This window comes from Homo sapiens, chromosome 17, assembly GCF_000001405.40.
Source record: "Homo sapiens chromosome 17, GRCh38.p14 Primary Assembly".
NCBI classification, from domain to species: Eukaryota; Metazoa; Chordata; class Mammalia; order Primates; family Hominidae; genus Homo; species Homo sapiens.
Genome location: NC_000017.11, coordinates 39,131,616 through 39,149,494, shown reverse-complemented (window position 1 = coordinate 39,149,494; position 17,879 = coordinate 39,131,616). Strand labels below are relative to the sequence as shown.

Below are 17,879 nucleotides of genomic sequence, written 5' to 3'. Positions count from 1 at the left end.
AGCTGTTGACTCCCAGTCCGGTGCCCTTTTCACAGGCCAGGTGGGATTTCACAGGCAGGAGGACCTATGAGGAGGAAGCGGGTGTCTGGGGAGGCCAGATGTAGGAGAAGGACGTTCTGGGGGAGAGTTGCTAAGGAGGGGCAGCCTGACCTGATTGATGGCGGAGTTGTTGTGACCAGTGGAAGGGCAGCTGGGAGCAGGACCTGAAGAGATGCTAGCATCCTTCCCCAAGGCTCTGGGTTTGTGGGGCTGGTGGGGGGCCTTGGGAAGTAGCTGAGATCTCCCCTCGCTCCTGATGGACAGGCTTGTTTGGTAGAGCCTTGAAACCTCATCTATCATTAGAACAGCAGCAGCAGAGAGATGAGTGGCCCAAAGACAGAGTCAGACAGCAGGGGAGACCAGGATGACAGACAGGAAAATGGCCTTGGGGTGCAGAGCAGGGGCCCAGGGAACTGACAGTCTGGTCAGATGGAACCAGAGGTGCATATGACAGATAAAGAAGAGGCAGCGAGAGTTGGCATCCTGGCCTGGGAGTCCTGCAGGAGGCCAGGCTCAATACCAACTACTGGTGACCCTGACAGCTTCCTCCTTTCTCTGAGGAAGGTTTCCCCGTCTATAAAATGGGGGCTTGCACCAGTCACGGTGGCTCATGCTTGTGATCCTAACACTTTGGGAGGCTGAGGTGGGAGGATAGCTTTAGACCAGGAGTTTGAGACCAGCCTGGGCAAAATAGTGAGACCCCATGTCTATAAATGATTTAGGCCAGGCAGGGTGGCTCATGCCTGTAATCCCAGCACTCTGGGAGGCCGAGGCCGGCGGATCACCTGAGGTCAGGAGTTTGAGACCAGCCTGGCTAACATGGTGAAACCCCGTCTCTACTAAATATACAAAAATTAGTATATTTAGTATTGTTATTAATATTATTAATATTAGTATATTAGTAAAAATTAGCCAGGCGTGGTGGTGCATGCCTGTAATCTCAGTTACTCAGGAAGCTGAGGCAGGAGAATAGCTTGAACCCGAGAGGCAGAGGTTATAGTGAGCTGAGATCGCACCACTGCACTCCAGCCTGGGCAACAGAGTAAGACTCTGTCAAAAAAAAAAATTAAAATTAAAATAAAAAATTAGCTGGGCATGGCGGTGTGCGCCTGTAGTCCCAGGTACTCGGAAGGCTGAGGCAGGAGGATCGTTTGAGCCCAGGAACTGGAGGCTGCAGTGAGCTATGATCATGCCACATAGTGAGGGCAGCATAACGAGGTCCCATCTTTTTTTAAAAAAAGGAGGGAAGGAGGTTGGACCAGATTGTCTCTAGGGCTCCAACAACCTGAGACTAAAATGCGAACTTATGGAGGTCAGGCAGCCCCTCCCTCATCCCACCATCTTCTCTAGCTCTCCCCAGATTCACCCCTTAACCCACTCCAGCTGCCGTCCCCTCCGATCGACAGATAACTAACTGGCTTCTTCTCATTCAGGTCTTAATCAGCTCAAGGGGACCCTCCTCAGAGAGCCCCACCTCATGGCTCTGTGTAGAGTAGCAACAACCCCAACCCTTTCCTCTGTCTGATTTTCTTCATAGCCCTTACCAAATGATTCATTTTGTATGTCTCCATGAAGAAAACTAGACTCTTCCTGGGTACAGGGCTTGTGTCCCCCCAGCACCCAGCACAGTGCCTGCGACTCAATAAAAGTGTATTGAATGAATGAGTGAGTGACTGAGTGAGTATATCAGAGGTGGCACAGATCCCAGACTCTCCCCTCAAGGGACACACATAGAGAGCTGAACTCTTCTTGCTGTCCCTCCCTTCCCCTCCCCTCCCCTTCCCTCCCTCCCTCTTCCCTTCTGCTACCTGGTGGTCCCTCCCTGCACTTCCTTTGACTCCTTCCCTCTCCCCAGGTGAGGGTCCTCAGTGGGTCCCTACCTGCCAGAGGAAAGGGAGAGGGTATGGTTAGGGGCTTTGTAACTTGGAGGCAGGATTTCAGTTTAGGGTTTGGAGCCTTCCCTGGCCCCTCTGAAAGCTGGTCCTGTGACCCTAACTGGTGTGTTGCCCAAGGTGCAGCAAGTTGACACACCAACACCGAGGGGGCAGCAGAGAAAGAGTTTCATCATCGTGGGGCAGCATTTGGGGCTAGAGGTTTTATGGGGTTTGGGGTGGGGTGGCCAACGTGTGGGAATTGTTAATTGGTTGAAGAGTGCATGAAGAAATAAAGAAACTGCATTCTCATGTTAAATCAGTTCCTCGGCTGGGCGCGGTGGCCCGCGCCTGTAATCCCAGCACTTTGGGAGGTCGAGGTGGGTGGATCACAAGGTCAGGAGTTCGAGACCAGCCTGCCCAATATGGTGAAACCCTGTCTCTACTAAAAACACAAGAAAATTAGCTGGGCGTGGTGGTACATGCCTGTAATCCCAGCTACTTGGGAGGCTGAGGCAGGAGAATTGCTTGAATCCGGGAGGCAGAGGTTGCAGTGAGCCGAGATCGTGCCACTACACTCCAGCCTGGGTGACAGAGCGAGACTCCGTCTCAAAAAAAAAAAAAAAAAAAAAAAAATCATTTCCTGTCTGAGGGTCTTCGAATTGGCCCTTCTGCTGGAATTCAGGATCCGAAAACCATCTTAATCCTTCTTTTTTTTTTTTCTTTTTTGAGACAGGGTCTCACTCTGTTGTTCAGGCTGGAGTGCAGTGGTGTGATCATAGCTCACTGCTGCCTCAACTTCCTGGGCTCAAGTGATCCTCCTGCCTCTGCTTCCTGAGTAGCTGGGACTGCAGGCATGCACCACCACATCTGGCTAATTTTTTAAAATTTATTATTAATAATAAATTAAATTTTATAATACCTTTTTTTATTATAAAAAAGACAAGGTCTTGCCATGTTGCCCAGGCTGATCTCCAACTCCTGGGCTCAGGTAATCCTCCTGTCTTGGCCTTCCAAAGTGCTGGGACTACAGGCATGAGCCACCATGTCCAGACTTTAAAAAAAATTTTAGTAGAGATGGGGTCTTGCTATGTTGTCCAGTCTGGTCTCGAACTCCTGGACTCAAGTGATCCCACCACCTCACCCTCCCAAAGTGTTGGGATTATAGGCATGAGCCACTGCACCTGGCCTTAAACAATTCTTAAATAAAAGCTGGCCAGGCGTGGTGGCTCATGCCTATAATCCCAGCACTTTGGGAGGCCAAGGCGGGAGCATCATTTGAGGTCAGGAGCTCAAGACTAGCCTGGCCAACATGGTGAAACCCCATCTCTGCTAAAAATATAAAAATTAGCTGGGTGTGGTGGCGCACTCCTGTAGTCCCAGCTACTTGGGATGGTGAGGCAGGAGAATTGCTTGAACCCGAGAGGTGGAGGTTGCAGGGAGCTGAGATCACACCAATGTACTCCAGCCTGGGTGACATATCGAGATTCCCTCTCAAAAAAAAAAAAAAAAAAGGAATGGGCCGAAGTGCAGCCTGATTAATGCTTAATTACTCCTATACTTCTGCCCAGAACCCGGCATGTAATTCTTGTTAACCCTGAGAAGACGGTTTCAGTCCTCATGTGAAACCCAGGGAAGGCAGGGCGACTTGCTGGGTGCTCTGTGTATATGATTTTGTTAAAGTGTCAAACCTACCAAGTTTATGTTTTATCAGCCCCATCTCACAGATGAGGAAACTGAGTCTTAGAGAGTGTGTGTAATTTGTCCAATGTTGTAGTTAGTAGGTGGTAGATTCAGGGTTCAGTGTCTAGCTTGTCTGATTCCAAACCTGTGTTGTTTTACTGCTCTGATACTACAATGAAGTTCCAAGGGAAGGGTGTTTCCAGTTCGGTGTATCTCAGGTACTCAGGGCATTTAAAGATGCTCTCCCTTCCCTCCCCTCCCCTCGCCTCCTTTCTCTTCTCCTCTTTTTCTCAGCCTGTGGGACAGGATGAGCCAGGGACAGGTGAGCTGGAAGCCGGAGAGAGATGGAATCAAGTTCACCCTCTAGGTGGCTTGTCCTGGCTATGGTGGGGGAGATTAGCTCTAGGGCATTAAGGGTGGAGGCTGACCCAGGATAGAGGCTGTGGTAACCTGAGCTATGGGGTGGCCCAGGGCTGGGATGCCAAGTTTGGGTGTTGGGTGAGATGAGGATGGCTTGGCCCAGGCTCTGGGGCCGCACAACCTGGCCTCCTGAGGTCAGCCCCATTCCCCCTTGCCCTGAAATGGGACCAGTGCCAGCTGAGGGGACTGGGACGCTACTGCTGGGCTGTACCCTGCATGCTGGGGGACACAGTCTCCCAGGGAAGCTCTCAGGTTCAGGCCCAATGGCAGCCTGAGTAGGGCCCTCCAAGAACCTAGCCCACATGCCAGCCCCACCCCGGGGCTGCCCCTGCACCCTGGGAAACAGTGGGGATTGTCGGTCACTTTTTACTGCACTTTCTGTGGTTCTGAGTAGGCTCTGGAGCCAGCCTGCCTGAGTTCAGATCCTGCCATGGACTGGTTCTGTGACCTTGGGAGGTTCCTTAACGTCTTTGTGCCTCAGTTTCTCCATTTGTAAAATGGATTTTAAACTAGTAACTATTTCATGGGATTATTGTGGGGATTAAGGGGGTGGATGTGTTTAAAGCCCCTGGAATAGTGCTAGCACAGAGCAGCATTCTCTGAAAGTCAGCTATCATTTTTATTACTAGGGTGATTATTATGGCATCCCACTGGACTGCACACTACTTGGGGCCATGAGTGAGTGAATCAATGAATGAACAGCTTGTGTTCCGGAAGCTCCTTGGCAACACATGCAGGCGGGGAACGGGTCCAGGGAAAATGGAGCTCTCTCCAGTGGAAGGCAGGTGGGGTGAGGAGTGGCTGAGGGTTGGGCAGGTGTCCAACTTGTGTGTGAGCACATACGGGAAGGCCGAGGCTTTCAGGAAAGTCTTTGTGGGCATGTGCACAGGCACGTGGGCCCCTGCACATACACGTGAGCAACCAGCTGTGTTGGCTTCTTTCATGAGTCGTGGGGATGACGTCCTGTCCCAGGCAACAGGGAAGGAAGGGTGGCCAGGAAACAGATGTAGTATGGGTTGGAAGAGTAAGATTCAGGGCTAGGCCAGGGTAGGCCAGGGTCCTGGTCAAGCTCCCTCTCCATCCCTCGCCCTGCCCTCTTTCATGGACTCTTTACCTCTTACCCTGGCCTGAGCTCTCTATAAAACCTCATTTGTGTTTCTCACTTGACGCTTATGGCAGCCTGTACTGTGGGCACCATCGTCAAATCCATTTGAGTCACTAGGGAGCTGAGGATTAGAGAGGAAAACTGATGGGGCTAAGGTCCCATAACTTGTGAGTGGCAAGACTGGGTGTGGAGGTCAACCCAGTGTCTCTTCCCTGGCCACCCCCAGCTGGGCCCCCTCCCTGTCCTTCCCCGGGCTGCAGGCCTCCACCATCCCGCCTCCTGTCTCGGCTCCAGGTTTGTGAATCCTGAAGATCCCCAACACTCCTCTCTGGGCCGCTGAGCCCCTCCACTTGTTCACTACCCGCTCTATCCTGTTCTGGCTCCTGCCCAGGCCCCAGGGCTGCTTGCAGGAAGACCTGGGGAGCTGGGCAGACCAGCCCAGCACAAACAGCTCTGTCTCCAGAAGCAGCTGTGGGCCCCACCCAAGAGAGACCAGACAGCCCTGGCTTGGGCCTGGGCAGTGGGCAGGCTGCCTTCCCAGCCCTGGACTCATGTCCATCTGTGGGCAGCCAGTGGGCATCTTGGGGAAGGGGTCTGGGGACTGCCCTCCTCCCCACGTGCTCCAGCAGCATCTGGTTGCTATTAGGGGCAGAGAAGTGAGAGGGGGCCGGCAAGGGTCCAGTAGGCGCCAGCAGCCAAGAATGACTTAATTGGATACAATGTCTAATGACAAAGCAGGGCCCCACAGCGGAGTTCTGGCCTCAGCCCCAGGCCTGGGCCTGGCCAAGCCTGGTCTCAACCTCTGTCCTTGCTGGCTCCCAGGAGCTACCCTATGCACTGCGTCCTCAATTCTGCAGTGATGGAGCACCTGCTGTTTGCTGGACATGCCAAATTTGAAGAAGGTGGAGAGAATCCTGGGGGAACTCAAATCTACCAGGGAGATAGGCACATAGTCGCACACGTAGGTGCTCTAGGAGAGGGAGAGCCACATCCAGGAGCTCTGGGGAGTGGGCTGGGGGAAGGCAGAGGTTGAGACAGGTATCTGACACAGGGTGGGCCTGAAATGGAAGAGGGTCATAGGTGGGGAATGTCAGATCCACCTATCTGATGGTCTGTTCTCATATATACATCCATAGTAGGTGTGACCATTAGAATGACAATAAAAGCCACAGCTTTGGGGGGCATAAATCTTTTTGAAGTGGAAAAGGATGGTTTTTGTGTTGTTTATTTATTTATTTGGAGAAGGAGTTTCGCTTTTTTGTCCAGGCTGGAGTACAGTGGCGCAATCTCGGCTCACTGCAACCTCTGCCTCCCAGGTTCAAGCAATTCTCCTGCCTCAGCCTCCCGAGTAGCTGGGATTATGGGTGCCCGCCACCATGCCCGGCTAATTTTTGTATTTTTAGTAGAGACGGGGTTTCGTCATGTTGGCCAGGCTGGTCTCGAATTCCTGACCTCAGGTGATCCACCCACCTCAGCCTCCCAAAGTGCTAGGATTATAGGTGTGAGCCACCACGCCCGGCCTTTTGTTAGAACTAATTTAACAGACCTGGTGCAGTGGCTCACGCTTATAATCCCACCACTTTGGGAGGCCAAGGTGGAAGGACCGCTAGAGCCCAGGAGTTCAAGGCCAGTGTAGGCAACATGGTGAAACCCAGCCTCTACGAAAAATACAAAATAAAATAATAATAACTAGCCGGGTGTGGTGGCATGCAACTGTAGTACCAGCTACTCAGAAGGCTGAGGTGGGAGGATTGCTTGAGCCTGAGAGGTCAAGCGTACAGTGAGCTGTGATTGTGCCACTGCACTCCAGCCTGCATGCTAGAGTGAGACCCTGTCTCAAAAAAAGCATGCATTTAACAACCTAGAGGGAACTGGAGAGGAGATCATGGAACCTAAAGCCATTTCGCAACCTCCAGAAATGGAGGTTCGCATGGCCGCGAAATGGCCTGTGTGTAGTCACTTTCCAATCCTGTGCCCATGGCAGACATTGCTTATTGATCTTCACAGTCCTTCCTGCTAAATACAAGAGGAGCCTTTGCATTCTCAGTTGGAGTGCCTCTGGCTGTCACGAATGGATTGCAGATGGCATGTGATATGAAACCTATTTGCCATCCTAGACAGTATCTAGGTAGTGATAGGAGTAAAACAGTAAAAAATTACCCCTCCCTCAATGGGGCAAGGGGGGGTTAATTTTATTCCCCAGGGGATATTTGGCAATGTTTGGAGACGTTTTTCATTGTCACAGCTTGGGATGGGGAGGAGCGTGGTGCTACTGGCATTTAGTGAGCAGGGGCCAAGGCTGCGGCTGCTAAACATCTTACAGAGCACTGGACAGTTCCCGCATAACAATGAATTATCCAGTCCAACCAACAATCCAATTTAAAAACAGGAAAAAGACTTAAATAGACATTTCTCCAAAGAAGATATACAAATGGCCCACAAGCATATGAAAAGATGTTCGGCATCACTAATCATCAGGGAAATGCCAATTTATAAAAACGATGAGATATAACCTCATACCTGTTAGGATGGCTACTATAAAAAAAACAGAAAATAACAAGTATTGGCAAGAATGTGGAGAGATTGGAACCCATGTGCACGGTTGGTGGGAATGTAAAATGGTCCAGTCATTTTACATGGAAAACATTTTATATGGAAAACAGTATGACAATTCCTCAAAAAATTAGAAATAGAATTACCATACAATCCAGCAATTCCGCTTCTGGGTATATACCCAAAAGAATTGAAGGCCAGGTCTCAAAGAGATATTTGTACACCCATGTTTGTAGCAGCATTGTTCACAATAGCTAAAACGTGGAAGCAAAACAGACATCCATTGATAGTTGAGTGGGTTAGCAAAATGTGGTATATCCACACAATGGAATATTATTCAGCCTTCAAAAGGAAGTCAATTCTGCCATATGCTACGACATGAATGAACCTTGAATTTATTATGCTAAGTGAAATAAGCCAATCACAAAAAGACAAATATAGTATGATGCCATTTATATGAGATACTTAGAGTAGTCAAAATCATAGATACAGGCTGCGCGCTGTGGCTCATATCTGTAATCCCAGCACCTTGGGAGCCAAGGCAGGAAAATTGCTTGAGACCAGGAATTCAAGACCAACCACCCTGAACAAAATAGTGAGACCCTGTCTCTATAAAAAGTAAAAAGATTAGCTGGGCATGGTGGCGCATGCCTATAGTCCCAGCTACTTAGGAAGCTGAGGTGGGAGGATCGCATGAGCCCAGCAGTTGGAGGCTGCAGTGAGCTATGATCGCACCACTACTCCCCAGCCTGGGTGACAGAGCAAGGCCCCATCTCTTAAATAAAATAAAATAACAGGGGTGAATAGGGAGTTATTATTTAACGGGTACAGAATTTTAGTTTTACAAGGTGAAAAGAGTTATGCAGATAGATGGTGGTGATGGTCATACAACATTAGGAATGTATTTAATGTTACTGAATTGTACACTTGGAAATGGTTAGATGGCAAATTTTGTTATGTGTATTTTGCCACAATAAAAAAATTGGAAAAGGAATTATCCAGTCCAAATGTCAATAGTACCGAGGTTGAGAAGCCCTGAACGAAAAGAACTCTGGCTTCTAGTCCCCTGACCCCACTGGGAAATAGGATTATGTGCCATTTCTGCCAGAGAAATAAGAAACTGGTTTGGAAGGCTCAACGGCAATGGTTCTCACCCTTGCCTGCAGAGTTAAGTCCAAGACTCCTCAAAATCTCCCCTGAGGCTCTTTTAAGAAATCGAGGCTAGGCGCGGTGGCTCACGCCTGTAATCCCAGCACTTTGGGAGGCCGAGACGGGTGGATCACGAGGTCAGGAGATTGAGACCATCCTGGCTAACACGGTGAAACCTCGTCTCTATTAAAAATACAAAAAATTAGCTGGGCGCGGTAGCGGGCGCCTGTAGTCCCAGCTACTCGGGAGGCTGAGGCAGGAGAATGGCGTGAACCCTGGAGGCGGAGCTTGCAGGGAGCGGAGCTCGGGCCACTGCACTCCAGCCTGGGTGACAGAGCGAGACTCCATTTCAAAAAAAGAAAAAGAAAAAGAAATTGAATGCCCAGGCTACACCATAGACCAGTTACAAGAGATCTCTAGGGTGGGACCCAGACATCAGGAACTTTTGAAGCTGTCCAGGTGACTCCAGTGTATAGCTGAGGTTGAGAATAATCACCCTTTGGAGGCAGATCAGCTTGGGTTTGAAACTTACCTGCATGCCTAACCCACTGCGTGACTTTTAACCTCTGAGCCTCTGATTCTTGTTTGCAAAATGGAGAACATCCTAACTACTGCGGAGAGCTGGCATGAGGATTAAAAGGATATGTGCGAAGTGCTTGGCCTGGAGCTGGGCACGTGACTCTCAGTACACATTGGGTGTCTCCTGTCCTGGTAGTCAGTCAAGTGTCTGCAAATTCTACAGTGGCATGGTGTTGGGGCCCTTGCAGAATAACTGGGCTGGATTCCCCTCCTGATCTTCATTCCGGACTGCTGGCACTCAGGTTTCTGTCCCCTTCTCCCAGGTCACGATGAGGGCCCAGGCTCTGGATGGGCTGCCAAAGGGACCGTGCGGGGCTGGAACCGGAGAGCCCGAGAGAGCCCTGGGCATGTGTCAGAGCCGGACAGGACCCAGCTGAGCCAGGACCTGGGTGGGGGCACCCTGGCCATGGACACGCTGCCAGATAACAGGACCAGGGTGGTGGTGAGTGCTGGAGGAACATGGAGGGGGAGCGAAGTGGGGGTGGGGGAGGTCTCACCAGCTGCCCCAGGTGTGCTTGTCCTACATGCAAATCACATATCATTTGGGGTTGGCCCCGGAGGACAGGGTGGAGAGAAGAATCCCCGGGGAGGGGATGGAAGCAGGGCCCAGACTGGGTCATAAAATCACAGCATCTCAGCGTTTCATAGGCTGCCTACTCCCTCCTGGACCCAGAGACATCAAATGGATTGTATCAGGATGCACAGCCTGACCACAGCATTCCTGAAACTGGACTCTCCCATGACTTAGGGAAGAAAAAGCTGACAGTGGCCTTATGAGTCACATCTCAGCTGCCAGATGGGGCCCTTCCCCACCCCATTTCTGCCCCATCTACAGACTGGGGCGCAAGAGGATTAATGGCTGCTTAGCCTAAGGGCTGGGCACTCAGCAGGGGGCTGAGTAGAGAAAGCAATTAGGGTGCAGCTCCTGGAGACAACCTCCTTGGCCTGGGGCAGTTCTGGGGTGCTGGCACAGGGAGGAGAGGCCTGGAGGGAGTGCTCTTCTCTCAGGGTTTCCGGGAGGCTCTTGGAAGCCTCGGTGTGTCTGGGGGTGAATCTATTAATATAATTGTGCGTTTCTGGGAATGGGTGTGTGTGTCATGGACGCTGGGTTCGCACCTGTGTCAGATGATTTTGTATATTATGTATGTGTACCTGTCTGTCACTGTGGGCTGTTTGTGGGTGTCTGTGATGAGCATGTGTAAGTGTGAGTGTGCCTGTGGCTGTGTGTGTAGGTGCCTGCGGCTGGGAGTGATGAGGGTGGATTCTTAGGACGCAAGAAGCAACAAGAGGACCTTCTTCTCAGTATAGATTTATTTTATATTTTAATAACTATTTTCTTAAATTAGTATGTGCTGACAGTTAAAAAAAAAAAAGGTTAAATAGTGCTAAAATCATAAAACAAAACAGCAGTCCTGCCCCTCCTCTCCCCTGGGGCCTGCCCCCTTCCCTTTCTCAGAAGGCTCTGTCTGGGCTGTTTCCTCTGGAGTTTACTTCCATATTTCCAAGGGATTTGCTTATACTGTACTGCTACCTCTCTGTGCACTGGTTTTAGGCCGTACCTATTCATGGCCTGCTGCGGCTCAGGGAGATTTGGCTTTTGTATACTCCCGCTGAGCAACCTTTCACCCTGCCGCCCAATCTTCCTGTTCAATCCGTGTGCTCGGTTGTGGATTGTGACGATCATGTACATAGTGTTCACTTCTAATCCAGGCAGGGTCATAACATTGTTTCTTTTCTTGTATGATTTTGGCTCTTCCTGGATCCTGGCCCCCTCTCCTGCCCTTGCTTACTTAGTTTTCTGTGCCTACCGTAGCTACATTTTCCTACACGTCCCCTAGCCTCAAATGTAATTCCAGTGTGGGCTGGGCATGGTGGCCCACACCTGTAATCCTAGCACTTTGGGAGGCCCAGACGGGTGGATCGCTTGAGCTCAGGAGTTCCAGAATAGCCTAAGCAACATAGTGAGACCCACGTCTCTAAAAAATTAAAACAAAAATTATCTGGATGTGGTGGTTTGCCCCTGTAGTCCCAGCTACTTGGGAGGCTAAGGCTGGAGGATTGCTTGAGCCTGGGCGGTCAAGGCTGTGCTGAGCTGTGACCTCACCAGCCTGGGAAAAAGAAGAAGACTCTGTCTCCGAAAAAATATAAAAGAAAGAAAATAAGATAATTCAGGGTGGTCAAACCTGTCAGTTCCTTTATCCCCCCGAGAAACTTCTCTCCTGTCCTGCACTCCAATCCCGCCCAGCCACTCGCCTGCTGGTACCACGGGTGCCATCCTGGGGCCTCCCTTTCTGTTCGTCCTGGGAACCCCTTTGTCTCCCTCCTGTGTTGGATCCCCTGTTCCCTTGACCCTGTGTCTTCTCTTTCCTGCTTCATCCTTTTGTTTGTTTAGCTTCCTGGGAAAGGTTGCACAGAGGGAAAAATTCCCTTGAGAACGTGCATGTCTGAAGATATCTTTATTCTGTCCTTTCATTTGACTAGTGGTTTGGCTGAATATAGAATTCTAGATTGAAAATAATTTACTTTTTCTTTTTTTTGAGATGGAGTCTCGCTCTGTCGCCAAGGCTGGAGTGCAGTGGCACAATCTTGGCTCATTGCAACCTCCTCCTCCTCCTGGGTTCAAGCGATTCTTCTACCTCAGCCTCCTGAGTAACTGGGATTACAGGTGTGTGCCACTATGCCCAGCTAATTTTTTGTATTTTTAGTAGAGATGGGGTTTCACCATGTTGGCCAGGCTGGTCTCAAACTCCTGACTTCAAGTGATTTGCTAGCCTCTGCCTCCCAAAGTGCTGGGATTACAAGTGTAAGCCACCGCTCAAGGCCTTGAAAATAGTTTTCTTTCACAAGTTTGAAGGCATCTCTCCATTGTCTTCTGGCTTCTGATTCACTGTTAGAGGCTTGGTGTGATTCTTATTTTTGACCTTTGTGTATGCCGGTTTTCCCCTGACTTCTGGAAGCTCTCAGGGTACTCCCTGTAACTCCAGCATTCTGAAATTGCAGTGACATGACCTTCTCTGGCTGTTTTTGTTTGCCATGCTGGACGTTGGGGGACTGTTTCAATCAAGAGACTTACATTTGTCAGTTCTGGAAAGCGTTTTTGCTTTATTTCTTTCAGATTTCTCCTTTCTACAATTCCTCATGGTTAGATGTCCATTTCTGGAAGTGATCCTTCAATTTTTTCTTCTCTCTTCTGCTGTGCGTCTCTTTTGCATTTTTTGTTGTTTATTTGTTAGTGTGCTTGTTGTTCTTCTTTCTGGAGGATTTTCTCAATCTTATTTTCATAATGTCACTGATTTTTTTCTCTACTATCGTATTGTTAATTTCTAAGAGCTCTTTTTTATTTTCAGATTTATTTTTCTTTAACAAAAAAGCATCCTGTTCTTTTTTTGTGGATGTAATATCTTCTCTCTCTGAGGATATTAGAACAATTTTGAGATTTTTTTCCCCTCTGCTCTCTGCATTGTTTCTGTTACTGTTTTTTTCCTTGTATCTCAGGCTCTGAAATGGTTTGGAACCATGACTAAACCTGTATTTCTTTAAAACTTTGGGCCGGGCACGGTGGCTCACGCCTGTAATCCCAGCACTTTGGGAGGCTCGAGGTGGGAGGATCCCTTGAGGCCAGGAGTTGGAGACCAGCCTGGGCAACATAACGAGAACTTGCCTCTATAAAAAACATAATAAACTTTTGATATTCTGTTCATCAAAATATTATTTTTTTGTATTCATTTTGATTTTTTAAAATATTGCATTGAAGTATTCTCTATCTTGATTCCTGAGTTTTGGTGCCATCTTAGATGTTGTACCCCAGGTAGGTGCCTCCTTACCTCACCCTAGTTTGGGCTCCTAGTTTGAGGTGGAACTTCAGGGGACATGGCATCACTCCCTTCCCAATCTGCCCTGTCTTCTTGATCCTGCAGAGCAAGGAGCAGGACTGCCATGGTGAGATGGTGGAGTGGAAGGACAGAGTAGGAGAGGCCCCTGATTAAGGAGACACCTGGCAGTTCATCCCTGACCCCACAGCTTTATTGGGCCATTGGTTGAATAACTGATAACCTGCTCAGGACCAGACACACAGGTCAGAAGGATTATGTCCCAGTCTGCACAAAGAGGACCTTTCAGAAAAGAGCCATGGAGACTTAGATTTCTGGAAGCAATTGTTCGTGGGTGTTCAGAAAGGACAGTGGGGTTCATTAAGAGCCAGTATGGATTCAATAACGCCAGAGCTTAAAAAACACCACAAATTCTCAGGCTCCACCCTGGATGGACTGGTTCAGAAACACTGGGGCAATGGATTTTGGGAATTTGTTGTTGTTGTTGTTGTTTCAAGTTCCCCATGTGTTCCTGGCGAAGTTGCAGAGATTTAAAAATGTGATTCTGATGGTCATGTAGGTGTGGGAACTTTTTTTTTTTTTTTTTTTTAGACGGAGTGTTGCTCAGTTGCCCAGGCTGGAATGAGTGGTGTAATCTCTCGGTTTACTGAAGCCTCTGGCTCCGAGGTTCAAGTGTTTCTCCTGCCTCAGCCTCCCAAGTAGCTGGGATTACAGGCATGCGCCACCACGCCCAGCTAATTTTTGTATTTTTAGTAGAGATGGGGTTTCACCATGTTGGCCAGGCTGGTCTCAGAATCCTGACCTCAGGTGATCTACCCGCCTCAGCCTCCCAAAGTGCTGGGATTACAGGCGGGAGCCACCATGCCTGGCCAGGAACTTCCGATCTATAAGATTTCAAACCAATTTTATAATTGGTGACCCGCTCGATTGTCAGAACATGAGGCTTCCACCATCTCAGGGGCTTTGTGATCCCCTCTGCAGCTACACATCGAGGGTCCACACAGGAGCAAGGCCACCTGGAAGGAGGTCCCTCTGACAGCCATAGGGCTTGTCCCCGGCTCTGCCTAAAGACAGGAGGACCAGGCTTTAAGGGATAACTTATCTGGAGAGTGCAGATGTCAGGTCAGGAACCCGAAGGCCTCATGGGCAGGCTGGAATGACATCTGCCTCGGAACAGATGAAACTACTGGGATAAATATAAATCCTGGCATTTAAGTTTAGAATGAGTTGGGAGAGATGTGGTTTAGCAGCAGCTCACGAGGAAAAGATTTGGGGATCCCCACTTCTTGTGGGCTAGGATGAGTCAGGCGCATAAAGTGGCTGCCAAGGCTGGAGGTGGGAAAGCCAGCTGCATGATGGAAACCTGGGGACTGGGGCTGGGGCTCTGGGGGTCCTGCGGGCTATTTCTTGGGCCTGACTACCATTGAGGGGCTTGTGCTCCCCTTTCAAGTGGTTTCCCAGACACAAGCAGAGTCCAGGGGAGGGCAGCTGGGGTGGTGAAGAGGCTTGCACTCTTGTCCCTGGAGGAATGGTAGAAGGCGTTTGGGGTATTTAGCCTGGTACAGAGAAGGTTCTAGATGTGGTTGTTTTCTTTCTTTCTTTTCTTTTCTTTGTTTTTTCTTTTTCTTTTTTTTTTTTTAGAGACAAAGTCTTGCTCTGTGGCCTAGGCTGGAGTGTGATGGCATGATCTTAGCTCACTGCAACCTCTGCCTCCCGGGTTCTAGCAATTCTCGTGCTTCAGCCTCCTGAATAGCTGGGACTACAGGCACATGCTACCAAGCCCGGCTAATTTTTTGTATTTCAGTAGAGACGGGCTTTCACTGTGTTGCCCAGGCTGGTCTTGAACTCCTGAGCTCAGGCAATCCACCCGCTTCGGCCTCCCAAAGTGCTAGGATTACAGACGTGAGCCACCACACCCCGCCAATGTGGTGGTTTTCCAGCAGCTGCAGGGCTGTGACTGGGGCACAGGGAATAGACTTTATTTTTTTTTCTTTTCTTTTCTTTTTTTTTTTGAGACGGAGTCTTGCTCTGTCGCCCAGGCTGTAGTGCAGTGGCACGATCTCGGTTCACCGCAAGCTCCGCCTCCCAGGTTCACACCATTCTCCTGCCTCAGCCTCCCAAGTAGCTGGGACTACAGGCGCCTGCCACCACGCCCGGCTATTTTGTATTTTTAGTAGAGATGGGGTTTCACCGTGTTAGCCAGGATGGTCTTGATCTCCTGACCTCGTGATCCACCCACCTTGACCTCCCAAAGTGCTGGGATTACAGGCGTGAGCCACTGCACCTGGCCTATTTTTCTCCGTATTACTTATCACCTCCTGCATCAAATTATGTGTATCAGCCAGTCACAGTGGCTCACGCCTGTAATCCCAGCACTTCGGGATGCTGAGGTGGGAGGATTGCTTGAGGCCAGGAGTTTAAGACCAGCCTGGGCAACACAGTGACACCCCCATCTCCACAAAAAATCCATTTTTAAAAAGTTAGCTAGGTATGGTGGTGCACGCCTGTAGTCTTAGCTACTTGGGATGCTGAGGCTGTAGGATCGCGTGAGCCCAGGTGTTGGAGGCTGCAGTGAGCCATGGTCGCGCCACAGCACTCCAGCCTGGGTGACAGAGCAAGACCCAGCCTCAAAAAAATAGAAAAGAATGATCCATGTATTGGTGTCTGTTGCCTATCTTCCCCCTGGAATGTAAGCACAGGAGAGCCGGGACTGTGCCTGGTCCATGACAAGCACTCCTTTGAATGAACAAAGGAAGTAGGGTTTTCGACATCCTAGTCTCCAAAAACAGGGTTGTAGAAGGGAAGAGTTCTGCCTGGTGTGATTGTCCCTGGTGTGAGTCACTGGACACAGGAGCCTCTAAGGACCCCAACTCTGCTAACTTGGATTCCCACACACATGAGAGAATGTCAGTGCTTACACACACCAGGGTGTCTGCACACGCCCGAGACTCAGGTGGCTCCATACCCAAACTCTACCCTGCCCTCGTCCTGTTAGGCCTTGTTCTGGGTGGTGTTCACCTGAGAATGCTGGTGATACCCCCAGCAGCCAGACCGCAAACGCCCTTTCCCACTATCTGCCCACCCCCAACCTGGAGAATGGGTGGCCCTGGCTGGGAGTCCGGCACAGGTGTCCAGAGTCACCTGTTTCTCCCATGCCTCTGACAGCTCAGCATCACTGTGGCCTAAGGAAGTCTCATCTAGATGATGGGTTGGCGGCAGAGGGTGGGCAAGATAAGAGGAGAGTGGCGGGAAGGGGCTGTTTCAGCAAGTTTGATTTGGTCTGTCTCACAGAGTTTTCTTGGGTTTCAACAGGAACACTTCCTCTGTTCATCTGGTATCACAGCTGGGTTTGGCCAACAGCAACCAGGCTCTGGGACCCTCTGCTCTGGGGCCATATCAAGGGACTGAGGGCTGGCGGGTGGGCTGCCATGCCTTTTGCCTCCCCCTACACAAACCCCAGTGCCCCATCACCTTCCTCCATCGTTCCTCAGTAACCCTCCTGGCTGCGGACCTCCCCTCTGGCTCAGCCCCCTTGACTCAGCTCCTCCATCCAGACCCTCTGCCCAGCTGCCTCCATTCAGCCCTCTCTGCCCAGTGCCTCTGCCAGGCACCCCCCGCCAGGCCATCTCACCACAATGCTCCTTCCAATTCAGAACCTCTTGCTTTGGAGGCCTCGAGGCGTCTAGCCTGCCCTCCCAGTCCCAGGGTGAGCTGGCAGCTCCGAGGACCCTGGTCAGAACCATCTCCTCCCTAAAATGCATTCCCACACCCAATCTACCACCACATCACAGTGGAAACAGGACTCTTGTCCAGACTCAAGATTTCCGGAGATTTTCCACCAAGACCAATTCTGAGGCCCTGGGGACACTGGGCGTTTCGGGGACGGGAGCAGGAGAACTGGGGAAGCCATAGTGCTGAGTCAAGAGATCCTGGGATGTGCTGAGTCAGAGATCCTGGGATGTGCTGAGTCAGAGACCCTGGGATGTGCCACAATTTATTCTCAAAGAGGCTGGAAAGGGGAGGTCTTGGCAAAGGTTCTCTTCCTTTGAGGATTTCAAAATTCTACTCCAATGTTTACTTGGTTCCATGGTTCAGGTTTAGAGCCAGAGTTTGGGGGAAATCAAGCATAAGAACATTTAGATTTGAGGAGGTGCCCCTCCCTTTCACCCCCCTTACCTCCCAATCTCCCCCATGGCCCAGCATCCCTGAATTCCTCTCTCTTCTCTGGCTCAAGCAAAACCTCCTGGCTTGTACATCACCATAGCAGGCCCCAGGAATGCGAGGGACCCTGTGTCAGGGCAGGGACCCCATCATCCAAGACAGTTGGCAGGGAGAGTGCAAGACCTGCCTGGTTTCTACAACCTTCCAAAGGAGGCAGCTCCCGAAAGAAGGTTTTCAGAACGCAGGGCCTTGGGAGACAGGAAGCCAGTCAGACTCCTCGCACAAACCACAGGGGGCAAGCAGTGCTCCTCCAAGAACCTGGCCCCACCAGGGTGCTCAAGGGAACGAGGTAAGGAGGCCAATCCCGGAAGATTCTGGGAGCAGAGTTGGGGGGTGGGTGGAGGGAGGGGAAAGTTAGGAGCCAAGTTTTGAAGAGAGAGAAGATAAAGGTTGTCTGGGCATGGTGGCTCAGGCCTGTAATCCCAGCAC

At 50.3% G+C, this 17,879-nt stretch overlaps 1 protein-coding gene across 17 annotated transcripts in view; it reads left to right on the top strand.

Annotated features, from left to right (window-relative positions):
- The window catches only part of PLXDC1 (plexin domain containing 1), an 89,655-nt gene that overhangs the window by 3,473 nt on the left and 68,303 nt on the right, over positions 1-17,879 (top strand). For 15 of the 17 annotated variants that reach the window (XM_047436434.1, XM_047436432.1, XM_047436435.1 and 12 more), the window contains one exon: positions 9,663-9,841. In XM_047436434.1, the coding sequence (XP_047292390.1) occupies positions 9,806-9,841 (36 nt within the window). In that variant the 5' untranslated portion in view covers positions 9,663-9,805. Of the gene's footprint in view, positions 1-9,662; positions 9,842-17,879 lie in introns of those variants that run through there. The other 2 variants (XM_047436431.1, XM_047436433.1) reach the window with 2 other exon arrangements.